At 36.2% G+C, this 18,560-nt stretch overlaps 1 annotated feature.

The window, feature by feature from the left end:
• Positions 8,514-9,104: an enhancer, noted in NCBI's record as "NANOG hESC enhancer chr21:21649240-21649830 (GRCh37/hg19 assembly coordinates)". NCBI's record gives its function as "activates a minimal SCP1, AML or CMV promoter by ChIP-STARR-seq in naive H9 embryonic stem cells {active_cell/tissue: H9 hESC(naive)}" and the evidence as "EXISTENCE:reporter gene assay evidence [ECO:0000049][PMID:30033119]".

Raw genomic sequence — 18,560 nt, forward strand, 5'->3', positions numbered from 1 at the left:
AATTAGGGTAAAATAAAGTCATGTGTGTGGGCCTGAAAACAATCTCACTGGTGTTCTTATAAGAGGGAGAAATTTGGACATGGATATGCATATGCACAAAGGAACAACCACACTAAGGCCAAGGGAGAAGACAGTCATCTACGAATCAAGGAGAGAAGCCACAAAATGAAACTAATCATGCCAGCACCTTGATTTCAGTCTTCCAGCTTCAAGAATTTCTGAGTAAATATTGACCTTGCCTCCCCACTTTGAGTTTCTCTTGTTTAAGCCATTCAATCTACGGTATTTTTTATAGCAGCCCTAGCAAATTAGCATATGCAGTTAAATTATGGATAGGTAGTTTTGGTCCCCCCATATTCAGGCTAAATGTGGAGGTGGGCATTTTGATTCAAAACATATATTTTCTTTTTAGTGTACTCCTGATTTTAGTTCACAGTGTATGCATACCTATGTATTAGTTTAAATTTTTATGTTGGTAATATATAACCATAAATATATTTTTCAAATATTTTTATATATTTGCTTAATGTTTAGTTTTTTTCTGACCTTATATTTGATTGGCATTTTACGGAGTATCAAATCTATGTTCTATTTTACTTCCTCTTAAATATTATTCAATTGTTTTCTAGCGCTTTGTTATTGAAAAAATTGTTACTTTAATACAAACTATATATAATATATACACATTTTTTTCTGTCTTGCATTCTAAAAATCTTTAAAGAATGATTATTAATACCTAATGATTATTAGTTATCTACATAATTATAGACATTGTTTATCTTCATGTTAGTCAACTCAGGCTGCTATTTTATTTTTTTATATTTATTTATTTATTTATTTTAATTTATTTTTCTGAGATGGAGTCTCGCTCTGTCGCCCAGGCTAGAGTGCAGTGGCCTGATCTTGGCTCACTTTAACCTCTGCCTCACAGATTCAAGCAATTCTCTGCCTCAGCCTCCTGAGTAGCTGGGATTACAAGCACCTGCCAGCACGCCTAGCCAATTTTTATATTTTTAGTAGAGACAGGGTTTCACTATCTTGGGCAGGCTGATCTTGAACTCCTGACCTCTGGATCCACCCTCCTCAGCCTCCCAAAGTGCTGGGATTACAGGCATGAGCCACCACGCCCCAGCCTCAGGCTGCTATTTTAAAAACTAGCACAAACCAGGTGGCTTATGAAGAAAAGATGTTTATTTCTAACAGTCCTGGAGGCTGGGAAGACCAAGATTTGGGTATCCACAGATTCAGGGTCTGATGAGGACCTGTTTCTTGATTCATGGATGACCTTTTTTTTTTTCTCTATGTCCTTACATGAAAGGAAGGGGCAAAGGAGTTCTCTGGGGTTCCTTTTATAAGGGCTCTTATCCCATTTGTAAGAGTTGTCCTCATGACCTAATCACTTCTCAAAGGCCTTACCTCCTAGAGTCATCTCACTGGGGGTTAAGATTTCAGTATGTGAATTCCAGGGGGACACAAACATTCAGTGTATAATATTGTTCCTAATTGTGGCTACACACTAAAGTCAGGCATCAGAGCAGCTTTTAATAGATAGCAGGGCCAGATGCCAGACCAACTAGATAAGATTCTATGAAGGAGCGGCCTCTCAACCTCATTCTAAGTATTCTCTAAATGATTACAGCATTATTGGGAATATACATACATTCCTCTTCATATAGGAACGCCATGTTTACAATCTTGACTACTAGAATCAACTTAAAATTAGTAAAGTGCAGATGATAGGTTTATTTTTGCCCAGTTAAAATTATGCTAGGAATTCTTGTGTTTTCTAGGCAGATAATTCCGTTTTTTAGATCCCTATTCTAGAAGTCAGTGTTGAAGTGCCAATAATTCTACACAAGTGGGAGAAGTTATTAATAAAAGCTAATGTAGCAGGATGAGCCGCAGATGGTTAAAGAAGGAAGAGGCTTTATTCAGCCGGGAGCATCGGCCAACTTGTGTCTCAAGAACCAAGCTCTCCGAAGAAAGAGTTCCTGGCCCTTTTAAAGGCTTACAACCCTAAGAAGCCTACTTGAAAGGGTCGTGATAGATTGAGCAAGCAGGGGGTACATGACTATGTCCACATACGTTAGTGGTGGGGGTAAGCAATGCAAGTATTTCTGCATACCATTGTCTGTGATCTATAGATAGCACAAGTGATTAGGGTGGGGGTTATCTTTAACCTACAGGTCTGGCCAATGGCACCGATCAGTCTGTTGTTTTTCAGCTTTTACTTCCTTCTTCTCTTCCGAGACAGGGGACAGTAAGAGAAATAGCCTCTTTCCTCAGTAACAAAGAATAATTAGCAAAAATTTCAACAGTTGACATAACCTTCTGCTAATACTCTGCTAATGCCATCCTCTGCTATTCAACTCCACGTGTACTTCCTCTCTATTCCCAGCTTTGAGCTTCTCGAGGCTGCTACTGGGGAGAACCGTGCTTCTGCAACCGTTTCCTATGTATATATTGGACCATGACTCCCTTCACTTGAGAGAAGAGAGAGACTCTCTCATATTGTTTTATATTGTTTTATATTCAGTAAAAACAACAAGGAAGTAAAACCAAAGACAGGCAGCCCGGCGCCAGGCCCAAAACCAGGCTTGGGCCTGCCTGACCTAAACCCAGTAGTTAAAAATCAACCTATGATTTAGAAGCCAATATTATTCATCGATTCCAGACATTATATAGAAGAACACTGTGAAACTCCCTGCCCTGTTCTGTTCCTCCCTGACCACCGGTGCATGCAGCCCCTGTCAGGTACCCCTTGCTTGCTCAAATCAATCACGACCCTTTCATGTGAAATCTTTAGTGTTGTGAGCCCTTAAAAGGGACAGAAATTGTGCACTTGGGGAGCTCGGATTTTGACACAGTAGCTGGCCGATGCTCCCAGCTGAATAAAGCCCTTCCTTCTACAACTCGGTGTCTGAGAGGTTTTGTCTGCGGCTCGTCCTGCTACACACTACCTTTGATGGAGCCCTAACTTGCCATCTGCCTCTGATTTCCCAAACATGTGTTAAAATCTCTGTGCCACCAATTATTTTCTTTCTTGCTATCTCTGCATATTATGTTACATTTTTTTCCTTAAGGAGTCATCAGAGGGAAAAAAGAGAAATATATTTGATATATAACAGATATTAATGTCGTTTACATTATGCCCCTTTTCAATTGTCTCAGAGCACAAGGCTGTAGATAAAAGCTGTTAGGATAGAATAAAATAAAACCATACTTACATTGTGTTTACGGAAATATCTATAAATAGAAATAACTGTTTATATGCTTGTTTTTGAAATTTAGTATTGACTTTTTTTTAATTAAAAATGAAAAAAAAATTCAAACATTTTAATCTATTGGCCTCCAAAGTACAACTTTGGTGTTTTTCCTGTTCCATTTATTTTAATAAAAATTACCATATAACTGGGTTGAAATCACTCTAATTGTCACCATATTTTTACTGTTGAGGGATTTCTTTTCCTGCGATTTTGTCTTCTATCTGTTCATGAATAATTTTCAAAAACGGAGCTCTCATATTTAGGCAGCTTTCTTGCAGTGCAACACCTCATCGCCTGCACTGCAGGATACCCCAGATGCATGCCTCGCACATCACATTGGGTATATCAAAGACAGAATGTTTACATTTATCTCAAATGCCTCAATATTCTGTTTTAGGTCATTCTGTTTAGGGTCATTAGGAAAATCTGCAAAATTGCTGTATCTGGGATTTTATTAAATTAAGACATCTCTTTTAATCTTAGTTTTTTAAGGAGTATATAAATTTTGTTGGAACTAAACTTGGGACATAAAATTTCCATGGGAAAAATATGACTAGGAAAACCATGGGGCTTCAGAAGAAAAATAGGTTGTTACATTTTGAGGACAAAATAATACAGAACTATGTTTAATTATATATGGCTTAAATATGCTTTCAAAATGTTAACTTCTGATGTATCACAAAAAAGTTGAAATAAGCATTTGAGTTGCTGGGGACATCGTCACCTTTCCAGTGAGATCACCTTTCTGGCCTCTAAGGACAGAAGCAGAAGCTGTTATTCCAATGTTTAATCACTAGAACATATATTGAGATGACACTTGTGTGGCACTTCTATGATTTAACAGCAGTAAAGTTAGTAATGTCAGTGAAAACGGTGGAATAGCTCAAAGAAGCAGACCCCTCACAGAAATATTCCAACTTCAAAGAAAACCTGTTAGAAACAACTTTGTCAGAATTCTAGGAAACAGTGACAGGCTCATAGCAACAAAGCAAATGCTGAATTAAGAAAAAGACAATGTAAAAATGATAGAAATGCTTTGACATTTTCACTTGTCCTTGCCACACTCCCCCACTCAGCTCAGGGGTAATCTTGAAGATGGCAGCCTTCATTTCTAGTGGAATCCCTGGTTCCAGAGGAGGCAAAGAATTGCATTTGCCTGCTCTAAATTGCCTGGGGGCTTCCCAAAGTGTTGACACAAGGAACTTGTCTTTGTTTAGCATAACTGGGAACTGGGTCTGAAAATCTATAGAATTGACTAATAAACATTGTAAGGCAAGTGCAAAACCCACAGCCGCCTGGGGCAAAAGATTACAACGGAAGCAACAATAGAGTCCCAAAAGCCTAGGAGGGAAAACTGGGGAGAGAGTTTCACTGGGAAATTAGGGCATCCAAAAGTTTCTGAGTCTACTTGGAATTTAGAAAATCACATGCATGCCCAGGGTAAGACTCATGCTAAGAAAAGACCTGTGAATATGCAACATTTTCCCCTTTGGCTAAACTCCATGCAAGTGCAAACAGGATGTACAGGCTAAGGCAGAGTTTTAAATGGCCCGGCTGAGCATTGAAGGATTTCCTCATCACAAAGCCAGACTGCAAAGATTGGGGAAGGTTTTTGATTTACGCTTTCTTATCTTCTCTCTGTCTGTGTCTCTCTCCGTCTACCCCTGACATTCAAGGAAATAACTGCCAAAACTCTAGCTAGACAAAAATTAAAGGAAAAGCTACGTCAGCGACCAAATATTACAAAAATTACAGGTCTACAGTTTAACAACAAAAAGAAGACCAAATTAAGTGGGCAAAGGGTATAGACATTTCCCCAAAGAATTATACAAAGAACCAAGAAGCAGAAAGCCCTTGAAATGATGCTCAATATCATTTGTCATTAAGGAAATGCAAATCAAAACCACAATTGAGATACCACTTCTCACCAACTAGGATGGCTTTTTTAAAAATTTAACTTATATTTTAAGTTCAGCGGTACAATTGCAGGTTTGTTATATAGGTAAACTTGTGTCGTGGTAACTTGTTATATAGGTAAACTTGTGTTTGTTGTATAGATTATTTTATCACCCAGCTATCACACCTAGTGCTCATTAATTATTTTTCCTGATCTTCTTCCTCCTCCTACCCTCTGTCAGGCCTCTGAGCAGAAGCTAAGCCATCATAACCCCTGTGACCTGCATGTATACATCCAGACGGCCTGGAGCAATGGAAGAACAACAAAAGATGACATTCCATCATTTGATTTGTTCCTGCCCCACCCCAACTAATCAATCGACCTTGTGACATTCCTCCCCTGGACAATGAGTCCCATGATCTCCCCACCCTGCACCTTGTGACCCCTGCCCCTGCCCGCAAGAGATAACCAACTTTAACTGTAATTTTCCATTACCTACCCAAATCCTATAAAACTGCCCCACTCCTATCTCCCTTTGCTGAATCCTTTCTCCGACTCAGCCCACTTGCACCCAAGTGAATAAACAGCCTTGTTGCTCACACGAAGCCTGTTGGTGGACTCTCTTCACATGGATGTGCGTGACACCCTCTACCCTCCAATAGGCCCCAATGTGTGTTATTCCCCTCTATGTGTCCATGTGTTCTTATTATTTAGCTCCCACTTACAAGTGAGAGCATGCAGTATTTGGTTTTCTGTTTCTGCATCAGTTTGCTAAGGATAATGGCCTCCAGCTCCATCCATGTTCCCGAAATGATCTTGTTCTTTTTAATGCCTGTATAGTATTCCACAGTGTATATGTACAAAATTTTATTTATCCAGTCTACCACTGATGGACATTTAGGTTGATTCCATGTCTTTGCTATTGTGAATAGTGCTGCAATGAACATACATGTACATGTGTCTGGGAAGGAGGGAAGGAAGGACGGAAGGAGGGAAGGAAGGAAGGAAGGAAGGAAGGAAGGAAGGAAGGAAGGAAGGAAGGACAAGTGTTGGCAGTAAATATGTAGAGAAATGAGAATACTTATACATTGTAGGAATATAAAATAATTCAGCTGCTATGAAAAAGAGTTTGGGAGCACCTCAAAACATAAACATAGAATTATCATATGATCTTCTAATTCTATTTCTGGAGGTACACCCTCCAGTGTTGAAAAACTAGTACTCAAACAAGTCAGTGTACATAAACATTAATAGCAGGACTATTCACAATAGCCAAGGTGGAAATAACCAAATGTTCACAAACAGATAAATAGATATCAAATTATGGTGTGTATTTATATATATACACACACACACACACACACACACACACATACACAATGGAATATTACTGAGCCATATAAAAATGGAGTAAAGCTATAGTGTGAATATTGGTGTCTGAGGCCATTTTATGTTGCTTATAATACCTGAATCTGGTTAATTTATAAAGAGAAGGAATGTATTTCCTACAATTATGGAGACTGAGAAGTTCAAGGTTAAGGAGGTGCACTTGGCGAGAGCCTTCTTGCTGATGAGGACTCTCTGAAGAGTCCTGAAGCCTCACAGGGTAAGATAGGGCAAGGAGGATGCGCATGCTACTCAGATATCTCTTGCTCTTACCATAAAGCCACCAGTCCCTCCACCAATGATAGCCCATTAATTCTTTAACTCATTAATCCATGAATGGTATCTGCCCTCATGATCCAATCACCCATTAAAGGTCCCATCTTTCAACACTGCCACATTGGGGATTAAATTTCAACATGAATTTTGGAGGGGACAGATATTCAAACCATAGCAGTTGGTGCCCCCACCACTATCTAATTTACGTGTTAGAACCTAACACCCAATGTGATAAACCCAATGTGATAGCATTGAGTTGGGGCCTCTGAGAATAAGTAAGTCATAAGGACTCTGCTTAGTGCCCTTATAAAGGAAGCTTAAGTGAGCTGCCTTGCAAGTTCCATCATGCAAGAATGCAGCAAGAAGCCTTCCTCTTTGAAGCACAGGCACAAGCCTCACCAGATATTGAATTTGTTGGTGGCTTCATCTTGGACTCCCCAAACTCAACAACTATAAGCAATAAATTTCTGTTGTTTACAAATTCTCTAGTCTAAGATATTTTGTTAGAGCAGCTAGAACAAACCAAGACAAGTACTGACACAATAATAAGGATGAATCTGAAAAAAAAAAAAATTATACCTAGTCAAAGAAGCCAGACACAAAATGTCACAGATTGTATGATTTCATGTATGAAATATCCATAATAGGTAAATCCAGAGAGACAGACAGAAAGCAGATTGGTAATTGACAGAGGCTGGAGGATGAGAGAATGAGGAGTAACTGCTTGATAGGTACAAAATTTTCTTAGGGGATAATATATTTTGGAGCTTAATAGAGGTGGGCATATATAAGATTGTAAGTGTACTGAATGCCACTGATTTTTTCACTTTAAAATGGATCTTAAAATGGTTAATCTTATGTTACATGAATTTCACCTAAACTAAAACAAAAAAGTAAAAGCTACAAACTTCTTGCTGTCCTCAAAAACAATGATACCCAATTTATATATGAAAATCTCCCAATGACCAGAGGTGGTTTATGTTACTTTGAAATTGACATAAACTGAAAGATGTAAATATTATTTGTAAATTTCAGTGGCCCTGAAAACTTTCTGTAACGAGTTAAGAAATAACAGTATGTACTAATAAATTAATTAATATTTCCTTAAAATCGTAAGTTTCTTTGACTAAATCATATGACTCTTACTTGGAAAGAGTTAGAGGCATTGTTGTGAATCTTACCAGAATATGCCACCCCAACATAGACCTTTTGCCCTGTGAATTATTTTGAGCTAGGACTCCTGAGAACCAGCAGACTCAGGAAAAGCTCTAAAAACAGGGCACTAATTTTCCCTTTGTAAAGGAAATTTCCATTTGTAAAGGTCTCTCCTTCTCCAGAAAGAGGTGGAAAGTTCTCAGGACCTTTTAAGAGTGTGCCTTGGGCCTTGATCACTCACATATGACTCAGAATAAACCTCTTTAAATATTTTACAGAATTTGACTCTTTGTCAACAATATCAGAATAGGTTAAATATCCAAAATTTCTGCAAATTGAAATACCAATTTCAAACTTTTTTTCACAAAAACACAAATTGTCATTAAATTTGGTGGCTGTTCATACTCACGGGAATAATCTGAACATAACACATTTTCCTGCATTGGCCATTTACCCAGAAGGCCTACATTTTTTTCCATCTCTCTCTTCAACTTATTTTTCTTAGCAGAAATTTTGATGTCTTAGAATCTACCAGGATTCTTACAGTTAGATAGTAAATAATTTCATTCAAATTAATTAGAGATTTAAAATGAAGTTGCTGAATAAATATTTGAGAATATTTAATCAATAATATACTATTTTTAAACCATTCTTCTTTGCTTTTTCTCTCTCCCTCTCTCCTCTCTTTGAAAGTCATTTAACTATTACCTGTTGAAAGCCCTGCAGGTGACTCAGTATTACCCTCATTATTCATGGTAACAGGAGCAAGAAAACTAAAGGAGCTTTTGTTCCTAGGCAGTCAAAACAAGATAGGCCAACAATAGTTACAAAGCTATGAATTCAGTACTAATCAGAGATTTGGAGGGTTTTTGTGAACCTGCTATTCTTCAGAAACCCTTAATTCTTTCAGTTTCTCCTTTCGCATACATTCTGTGTCTTCTGTCAAATGAAATGTAGCATCTCTGTACACAGAAAGTTTCTGAGCTAAGTATATGTAACACGAGTTTCCTTTCCAAGATTCAACACCTATGCATTGCAATCAAATCTCTTTTATACTGCATTGTATAAGCACATAAAGGCATCAGTTTAATAAATTAATTTTTATTGAGCCTCTGTTAGTAAAAAATTATGCAATTCAATGGTATAGTGCATTAAAAATATATGAAGTGGTTTTATACTCTTTTCTGTGCAAAGGTGTTGAAAAAGTAACTATCCAAGGTTAATTACCGTCAGTAGTAGGAGAATATTTTGTTAAGTAAATTTAGTAGGACAATATTTTGTTAAGTAAAACTAAATTATGTTTATACCTTGCTGTGATCTTATTTTATAATGTTAAAGTTAAAGGTTACCTTACAAAACATAATTACCAACTTGCAAAAGTATTTTAAGGGTCCGTTATTACTTTGCATCATTGAATAAAGTGTTTAAAAATTGTGTGATAGTGAACAAAATGTACTTAGACTATATTAGTAGATCAATAATAATAATAATTACACTGTTTTTGCCAGGCCCAGCATTTGAGAGAAAACTATGCATAAGCAAAGGTATAGATGGTAGAAGGGAATACAGGATAGAAAAAACACATTTAAAATGCTTCTAATAATTTTCCAATTTTAAAAAGTGTCTAAAATCTCTCTCCATTTCTTTATCTTTTTGAAAAATTTTGATGACTAGGAAGTTGCTGTTTCATCTAAAATATGATAAAACCTCTGAAAACTAACTCCAGTCAATGTGAAATTTGGCAGGGCCTATTATCTCTGAGCTACTTCTTGGATTAACCTCTGTAGTGTAATGGAGACTGTTAAGACTCCTGGGAGTGACAACAACCACAGTGACAGGAGAACACCTGGTTATTGGCATTTCATCCTTTATAATAGATGCCCAAACAGGTCCCCAGACACCTGCAGAAATTACTAGGGTGTGTTAGACCATGACAGTTGATAAATTATTACCAGACACAATCTGGAAATGGGCTTCTAAGCTTTACTATCATCTCTGAAGGAAAAAATATGATTTGCCTACTGGGAGGAAAACTCAGCTAAATATTCTAAATGAAAAATCAAAATATATGCATAAGATAAGCTAGCATTCAATAGCTCTTAGCAAAATTTGACGACAAAATAATGTTTAGAAAATGTTCAAAAATAACAAGGGTATAATATAATTAATGTATATCAAAAAATGACAATTTTTTGGAGACTTACAGTTTTTATGCACAAGGACACAGTACTGCTAACAGTAACTATATAAAATTTTAAACAGAAAATAAAAACAATGGTAGAATATTAGCATCGGTGCCAATTCTACATTTTAATTATGTATAGTGCAAAATATGTTAGACTTCCATATATTCATGCTAACCTAGTTGATGCTAATCTAGATCTAACCTAGTTCATGCTAACCTAGATGATCTTCCCAATGTTGTAGAGGAAAATTTAGTGACAATAAAGCTTACTGAGTGTCCACTCTGGATACCTACTCAAATATTTCCTAATATGGGTATGTAATGCATATGCATGAAAATTCTTTCCTCCCTACTCTTGCACTCACACTTAACACAGAACTCTTCCATAACCAAATGTGTGTTGTTTGTTTTTTCCCTCACAACAATTTAATTCTCGAATTCTCTGCAGACCCCAGTTGGGTGCCCTGCAACTGAATGAATTCTGATGTTCACTGTAATTAGCACAAATCCCACAGGTTAAGGGCTCAGTCGCACAAACTGTCCACACATCCGAAGCCAACCGTAAGTCCCAGGTTTTTACTTGTACTTCTGACTTTCTGGCTATAAATTGGGATTTCCATGACCCCTTTCCTCAAGTTCAGTCATTTTCCAAAAGGGTTCACATGACTCAGGGAAACATTTTACCTATATTACTAGTTTATTATATATTAAAGGATATGATAGAGGTTACAGGTGAACAGCCAGATGAAGAGAGGGGCATCGGGTGAGGTCCAGAAGTTTCTTGAGTGCAAAAGCTTTTCTCACCACAAAGTTGAGGGGTGCCACACTCCCCATATGTGGATAAGTTCACGAAACTAGGAGATCTTCAAACCCCATAGTTTAGGGATTTTTTTAATGGAGGCTTCTTCACGTACACTCAATCTCCAGCCCCTCTTTCCTTCCCAGAGGATGAGAAATAGGGCTGAACATTCCAAACTTCTAATCATGACTTGGCCCCTCTGATGACCAGCTCCAATGCAGGAGCCCACCATGAGTTGCCCTATTAGAAGAAGAGATGCTCTTATCACCTAGAGAATTTATAAACACTAGGAGCTCTGTGCAAGGAACGGGGCTCAAAGATCAAATATTAGTAAAAATGACACATTTAGTACCCCCATTGCTCAGGACATTATAAGGTTTTTAGAAGCTTTGTGACAGAAACTAGGGGCAGAGACCAAATATTTTTAAATTATGTCTCATATCTATATCTATATCTATGTCTTACACCCAAATAGACATTGGTGTCACAAACTATCATATCTCTAATCTATTTATATTTTTAAAAATTATTTATTGTCCCACAAGCGGCCTTTCTCCCTGTCTTTTTCTCTATTAAAATGGTGTATAAGCTACTCTTTTGGGTATTCACCTCCTCTTGTCATGCTCCCATGCATACAAAATTAAAAATTATACGTTTGTATGCCTTTTCTCCTGTCAGTCTGTCTCTTGTCACTTTATTTTTCAGATCCAGCAGGAGAACAGAAGAGGTACAGAGGGAAAGTTTTTCTCTCCTACAGGGCCAATACAATATGCTATTGTTAAAATTGTAAACTGAAGCATAATAATATTTTAAAGTGCTTATTTGAACAAACAACAATTTATGAATCCAGCAGCTCCAGAACAGAAGTGGTTCAGGGATTCCCTGGAGGAAGCATAAGGTATAGGCTTTTCTAGAGTGAATATGAAAGTAGTATAAAGAAAGGGATATGGTTTGGCTGTGTCCCCACCCACATCTCATATTGAATTGTGATTTCCATAATCTCCACGTGTCATGTGAGGGACCCAGTGGGAGATCATTTAATCATGGGGGTGGGTTTTTCATGTGCTGTTCTTGTGAGAGTGAATAAGTTTCATGAGATCTGATGGTTTTGTAAAGAACAGTTCCCTTGCACATTCTCTCTTGCCTGCCACCATGTAAGACATGCCTTTGCTCTTTCTTTGACTTCTGCCATGATTTTGAGGCCTTCCCAGCCATACGGAACTGTAAGTCCATTAAACCTCTTTTTCTTTATAAATTACCCAGGCTCAGGTATTTCTTCATAGCAGTATGAAAAGGGACTAATACAGAAAGTGTATTTGATTAGTTACAGTTATAAGTTTTCTTATTTGGTCTATCCTGCTGGAAATATCTAGTCATATATTTAGAAGTTTGCTGGCTGCCTCTGATTTACTGAACTTAGGTGTTTATATATATATATATAAACCAATTAGGCCTGATAAGTGACCTTAACCTTGCTGGATTTGAAAACATAAGCAAAACTTAACTTGAGTTATTTCTTGTAAATGTCTATATATATATAGACATTTGTTTATATATATATATAAAAATGTCTATATATATATATATAGACATTTACAAGAAATAACTCAAGTTAAGTTTTGCTTATGTTTTCAAATCCAGCAAGGTTAAGGTCACTTATCAGGCCTAATTGGTTTTGTTTGCTCTCAGGGATTACTCAGGCCTGGTCTCCATTTTAATTTACTAATACTATCTCAAGCTAGATCTAGAGCAGTGGTTCTCAAAGCATAGTCCAAAGGCTTCCACAAAAAAGCCATACAATGTTTAGAATCCCAAATATTTTTGACCCCAGTTTATAGCAATAGAGAATGAAGACTTTGAATTGGCATCCTTAGGAAAATATACACATGGTTAAACAAGTTTTGGTAATGTTCCGGTAAAGATATATTAAGGATATTGCTTTTCCGCTCAAATCCATTGTTACAGATGTCCTCAAGGGACATCTATTACACTGAAAGAGAGGGACCTGGCTAGTAGACAAAGGCCATATATGTTTAGACTTAAAAATTATGTTAAGTATAGAATAAGTGTTGCTCCTTAAACTTGGAATTTATAATAAGCCAGCTGATAATTATCTGATTAGGTTGATGAAAGAGTTGGATTGCCAAAAAAGCCACAAGTCTACACTTTGAAAGTCTGTGACTGGTAAATCTGCAAATTAAGACTTGAACCTTTAAAAATATCGATTTTATTTTATGGTTTATAATCTTTTGCCAGTAATTTGGAAAGTATAATGAAATCTTCAATTTCCTAAAGAAATATAATTTATCAAAATTTACTCAGGTAGTAATAGAAAATCTAAAATCATCTAAAATAATTAAATAAAATTAATCAACATTAAATATTTACCTCCCCTCCTCAAATTCCACATGCAAACAAAACTATCTGGGCCTAGATGGGTTAGCATATTATCTAAAACAAATACTTAGATATTTTCAAACTAACATACATTCTGCCAGTGAGAAAATTTTCCTTCAATTTATTTGAGTTATAATCATAATATGAAAAATAGAAGGAGGGTGAAAAAGGAACACAGAAAATAATGTAATTTTTTTTCTTTTTTTTTGAGATGGAGTCTCGCTCTGTTGCCAAGGCTGGAGTGTAGTGGTACAATCTTGGCTCACTGCAAGCTCCGCCTCCCAGGTTCACGCCATTCTCCTGCCTCAGCCTCCCGAGTAGCTGGGACTACAGGCGCCCGCCACCACGCCTGGCTATTTTTTTTGTATTTTTAGTAGAGACAGCGTTTCACCGTGTTAGCCAGGATGATCTTGATCTCCTGACCTCATGATCCACCCACCTTGGCCTCCCAAAGTGCTGGGATTACAGGAGTGAGCCACCGCACCTGGCCAATAATACAAATATTTTAAGTAAATTTTATCACGTCAAACCTAGTGTTGTATATAAAAAAATACACAAATAAGTTTACTTCAGAATAGAAAAGCAAAGATATCATTGGAAATTTCTTAATATATTATACATAATTAGATTTAAGGTTTAGGCTTTGAGAAATATATTTGATAATATTCAATATTCTCCCATAATAAAATTTCTTGTCACTCTAGCACTAGGAAGAAATTTTATTAGCCTGCTAAATGTTGTGCACCAGAGAAAATATAGCTAGAATCATAAAGGTAAAAAGCCAGAAATTTTCATTAAAAAATCAGAAAAAAACAAGCAATTCCACTGTCAAGTTTATAAACTGCAGTTTCTATTGCACACGTACACAGAGTATGTTAAAATATTTATAGTAGAATCTCTTATAAGAGTAAACCATTGGATAAGACATGTCTGCCAAAACATTAACTGACAATAGACTCCCCTTCCCTCAAAAGTATATACATTCATTCCTTATATTACCATACAAGATTCTTATAAACATAACATTGAGTCAAACAATTTAAGCTTCAGACAGATACCTACAATTTAAACTCATAAAAAACTAGCATATGTGGTGTTAATGATGAATACATATGTAGTAAAAATACCCCAAAACTGCATAAGAATAATCAAAACTAAATACAGTAGTTACTTACCTCTGGGGAAGGAAGGGTAAAGTAAATACACCCAGGATGTGGAGGGTGGTACCTATACCCTACTCAGCAAATTTTATTTTTTAAGTTGTATTGTTGGTTCATAATTAATTATTATGCCATTCTTTACTGTTTCCTGTATTTTATAAATATTTAGTAATTCACTCTTAAAAATGAAGAGTGAACAGTTTTGATAGTTTTTAGTTCTGTGATGTTATTTCAAAAAACTACATATACATACATGTAGATTTATGGTAATAAAATGCACAAATCTACACGTATGTGTATGTTTATGGTAATAAAATGCACAAAGCTACATGTGTGTATATGTATGTGCATGTGTATGTATATGTGTGTATATAGATACAGATATTCCACAGAGGTAGTACACAGAAACTGAAAGTGGTCCACAAATGACAAAAATTGTTAAAAAGGTATAGAAGAAATACATTATATGGAAAAATGAATAAATGTTTTTGAGATTACGTATGGACAAAAAGCTAAAGAGCATATGCTATAAATATATACAAAAGTTTAACATGTAACTTGTATGCTAAGAATTCATTTGGTTATTTCCAGATCATTTACAAAACTTTGAAGAACAGAACTGTTGCTATGGAGATTTTGTTTAATAGTCATCAAACTAAAGGCTACAAAAGCTAAAAATGCATTCATAAGAACATAATGCTCATGTTTATATTTTGAAGATCTATAGCGTGAAGCACATGTTCAGGTATTGCCAAATTTTGAAGCAAAGTTTCTAATCCTACTTAACTTAAAATTATTCTGCTATTATTTTAGATTAATTTATATTTTACTCCTATTGATCTGTATTTATATTGACAAGAGATCAAACATTATATACCATCATTGTGGGTAGTAGCTGGGGAAAAAGTCCTCATGAATTATCTGCAAGTCTTAGGAAGAACACATTCTGAATCCTGCAGTTTTGTTCAGAGCTATCTCAGAGGTCCCTGCATATAAAAAGGAATTTTCAGAGCAACAATTTGGTTTTTTTCTTCCTAACAATTTGGCTTGGGTTCATAACTTGCTTATAGGGATTCACAGATTTTTTAGCATCCAAATTTGCAAAATTACCACATTTCATACATATTGCCCACCTAAGAAAGTCTGTTCCTCTTCAATCTGGCTTGCTCATCTGTGATCTGACAGATGGATTCTACCCACAGGCAAAAGAAAACCTTATTTTAAAAATAAAAATTAATTACATCAAACTTAAAATCTCACATCGAGTTAGAAAGAATTTTTATTAAATAAAATTGTAGTGGAGTACTGGCAGCATTGTTTTATATCCATTTTCATCTGTACACAAAGTATTTTTTTTTAATTGGTGAGGTCTAGCTAGTGCAGGTATTATTTATCTAAATTTGGTAGCGCAGTCAGATTGCAACAGAATGATGTGGCGACATTGTGATTTCTTATAAATGTCTATCTTTTCCCTCTTCCCGGCTAATAAGATGCAATGCTCTTGTTTGAAGAAACCAAGATCCCAGCCACAAACAAGAGATAGTTATTGAACTAATCCAAAAGTTAGAATCCTCCTCCAATTTTCCTCTTGTAGCTAATGGTAACTGTTGTAACACTGCTCTAGCCAATGGGGAAAATCTATCGGGTTGTGGGACTACAGGAAAAACTTCTGAGTTTCTAATGAAAGGGACAGATAAACCTGTCAACTCCCCTTCTAACTTTTTTCCTACTGTGATTGGAAATATCATGACTAGAACTGGGGCAACTATTTTGCTACTGTAATTTACATGCATGGAAGTTAAAATTTAACATTCTTAGGATGGTAGAAGAGAAATATAGAAGAATCTTGTACCCTCAATGGCATGACTGAGCGGTTAAGCAAATGCTAGCAACAGCCTAGTGTCAATTTACCTTGTCCCTTTGATTGATAGGGAACCACATATGTTATCTGTTTCTTCTTAAGGTAGCATCTGAGGTTGTTTTTAAAGTGTTATGCCTGCTTTATCCAAGTTATGAGGTTTATGAGCATAAAGATCTTGTGATGTTTTCTTATTATTATTTTAGTGTTTGTAGGCTCAAAATGATGCCCCTCTCTTATGTCCCATCTTGGTAATTTGTATCTATTGTTCATGTTTATTATAGCTGGATGGTCATCAATTTTACTGACATGTCAAAGCAGTTTTGATATTATTGACCTTTTCTACTGTTTTTCCCTTTTCGATCTCATTGATTTCTGCTTTTATTTCTATATTTTCTCCTAATGCTGTGTTGCTTGCTTTTAGTTTAATTTGCTCTTTTTTCTGCTTTTTTTAAAGGCAGATATTCAGATCATTGGCTTGAGACATCTATTGTCTATATTTATTTTCTATATTTCTATACTCTATTTTCTAATTTGTCTTTACTGCTTTGGCTGAATCCCACGAAATGTGAATGTAAATGTCAATTTTGTCAAATTGCTTGATAATGTTCTCCAAGTTTTCCATATATTTACTCATTTTCTGTCTACTTGTTACATCAATTGCAGAAGAGTGTTAAATTCTCCACAAATTCTCATTGTGGAACATTAATATTCTTACACAGCTCTAAAATGCTTTTTGTAACTTTTTTTTTTATTTTGTTTCAGTTTGGGTAATTTATATTTGTATGGCTTCAAGGGCATTGATTATGTCTTTAGCTCCATCAAGTCTACTGATGACACCTGCTGTGGGTTTAGTTGTGCCCTAAAAAAAGATAAGTTGAAGTTCTTAAACCTAGTACTTCAGAATGTGGCCTTCTTTGAAAATATATCTTTACAGAGGTAACTGAGTTAAAACAAGGTTATTGGGGTGGACCCTACTCCAATGTGGCTTGTTTCCTTATATAAAATGGAAATTTGAATGCAGAGGCAGACATGCAGAGAGAGAGGATGATGTGAAGACATAGAAGGCCATGTGAAGATCGGCAATTGGAGTGATACATCTATGAGCCAGGGAATGCCTGAAGCTACTAGAAGTTAGGATGCATGGGGTACATCCTTCCCTAGTGCCTTCAGAGTGAACGTAACCCTGATGACATCTTGGTTTCATACTTTTAGTATGCAGAATTTTTTTTTTTTTTTTTCTTTTTAGATGGAGAGATGGAGTCTCGCTCTGTCACCCAGGCTGGAGTGTAGTGACACAATCTCGTGTCACTGCAACCTCTGCCTCCTGGGTTCAAGCTATTCTCCTGTCTCAGCCTCATGAGTAGCTGAAATTACAGGCATGCACCACCACGTCCCGCTAATTTTTGCATTTTTAGTAGAGATGGGGTTTCACCATGTTGGCCAGACTGGTCTCAGACTCCTGACCTCAAGTAATCCACCTGCCTCAGTCTCCTAAAGTTCTGGGATTACAGGCGTGAGCCAACATACCCAGCCTAGCACAGAATTCTGAAACAATGTTTCTGTTATTTTAAGCTCCCCAGTTTCTGGTACTTTGTATGGAAGCCCTAGGAACTAGTACAACTCTAAAGGTTTTCATTTCTCTTCGTGTTTTTTATTTATATCATTTGCGTTTTATTCTTGATATATTTTTCATTTCTCTACTGAATTTTTCTATCTGGTCATGCATGTTGATTTTTTTACTAGATTATGTAACACATTAACCATAGTTATTTAAATTTCATGTTTAATGTTTCCAAAAATTGTGTAATCTTGCAATCTGGTTCTGTTAGTTACTTTGCCTCTTAGCATTAGGCTCTATTCTCTTGCTTTTTTATCTGTCTTCTATTTTACATTGAATACCAACCCTCATATGAAGAACATTAGAAATTGAAGTAGACAGTATTTACGATTAAAAATGAAACTGCCTTTTATTCTACAACGCTAATATGTGTGACAGTATGCCAATCTAGGAAGCAATTGACTGGGTTTGGATTTATTGTTATGAAAGTTGCCTTGAAGTTTACCAAGGTTACTATGCCATTGGCCTTGAGTTCCTTTAGTGCCACATCTTAACTACCTTAGATGAGCTGTCCTTGGATTTCAGGCTACTTGTCTGACCTGTGACATCAGCATTCGGAT

Source organism: Homo sapiens, chromosome 21 (assembly GCF_000001405.40).
Source record: "Homo sapiens chromosome 21, GRCh38.p14 Primary Assembly".
In the NCBI taxonomy this organism is placed as follows: domain Eukaryota; kingdom Metazoa; phylum Chordata; class Mammalia; order Primates; family Hominidae; genus Homo; species Homo sapiens.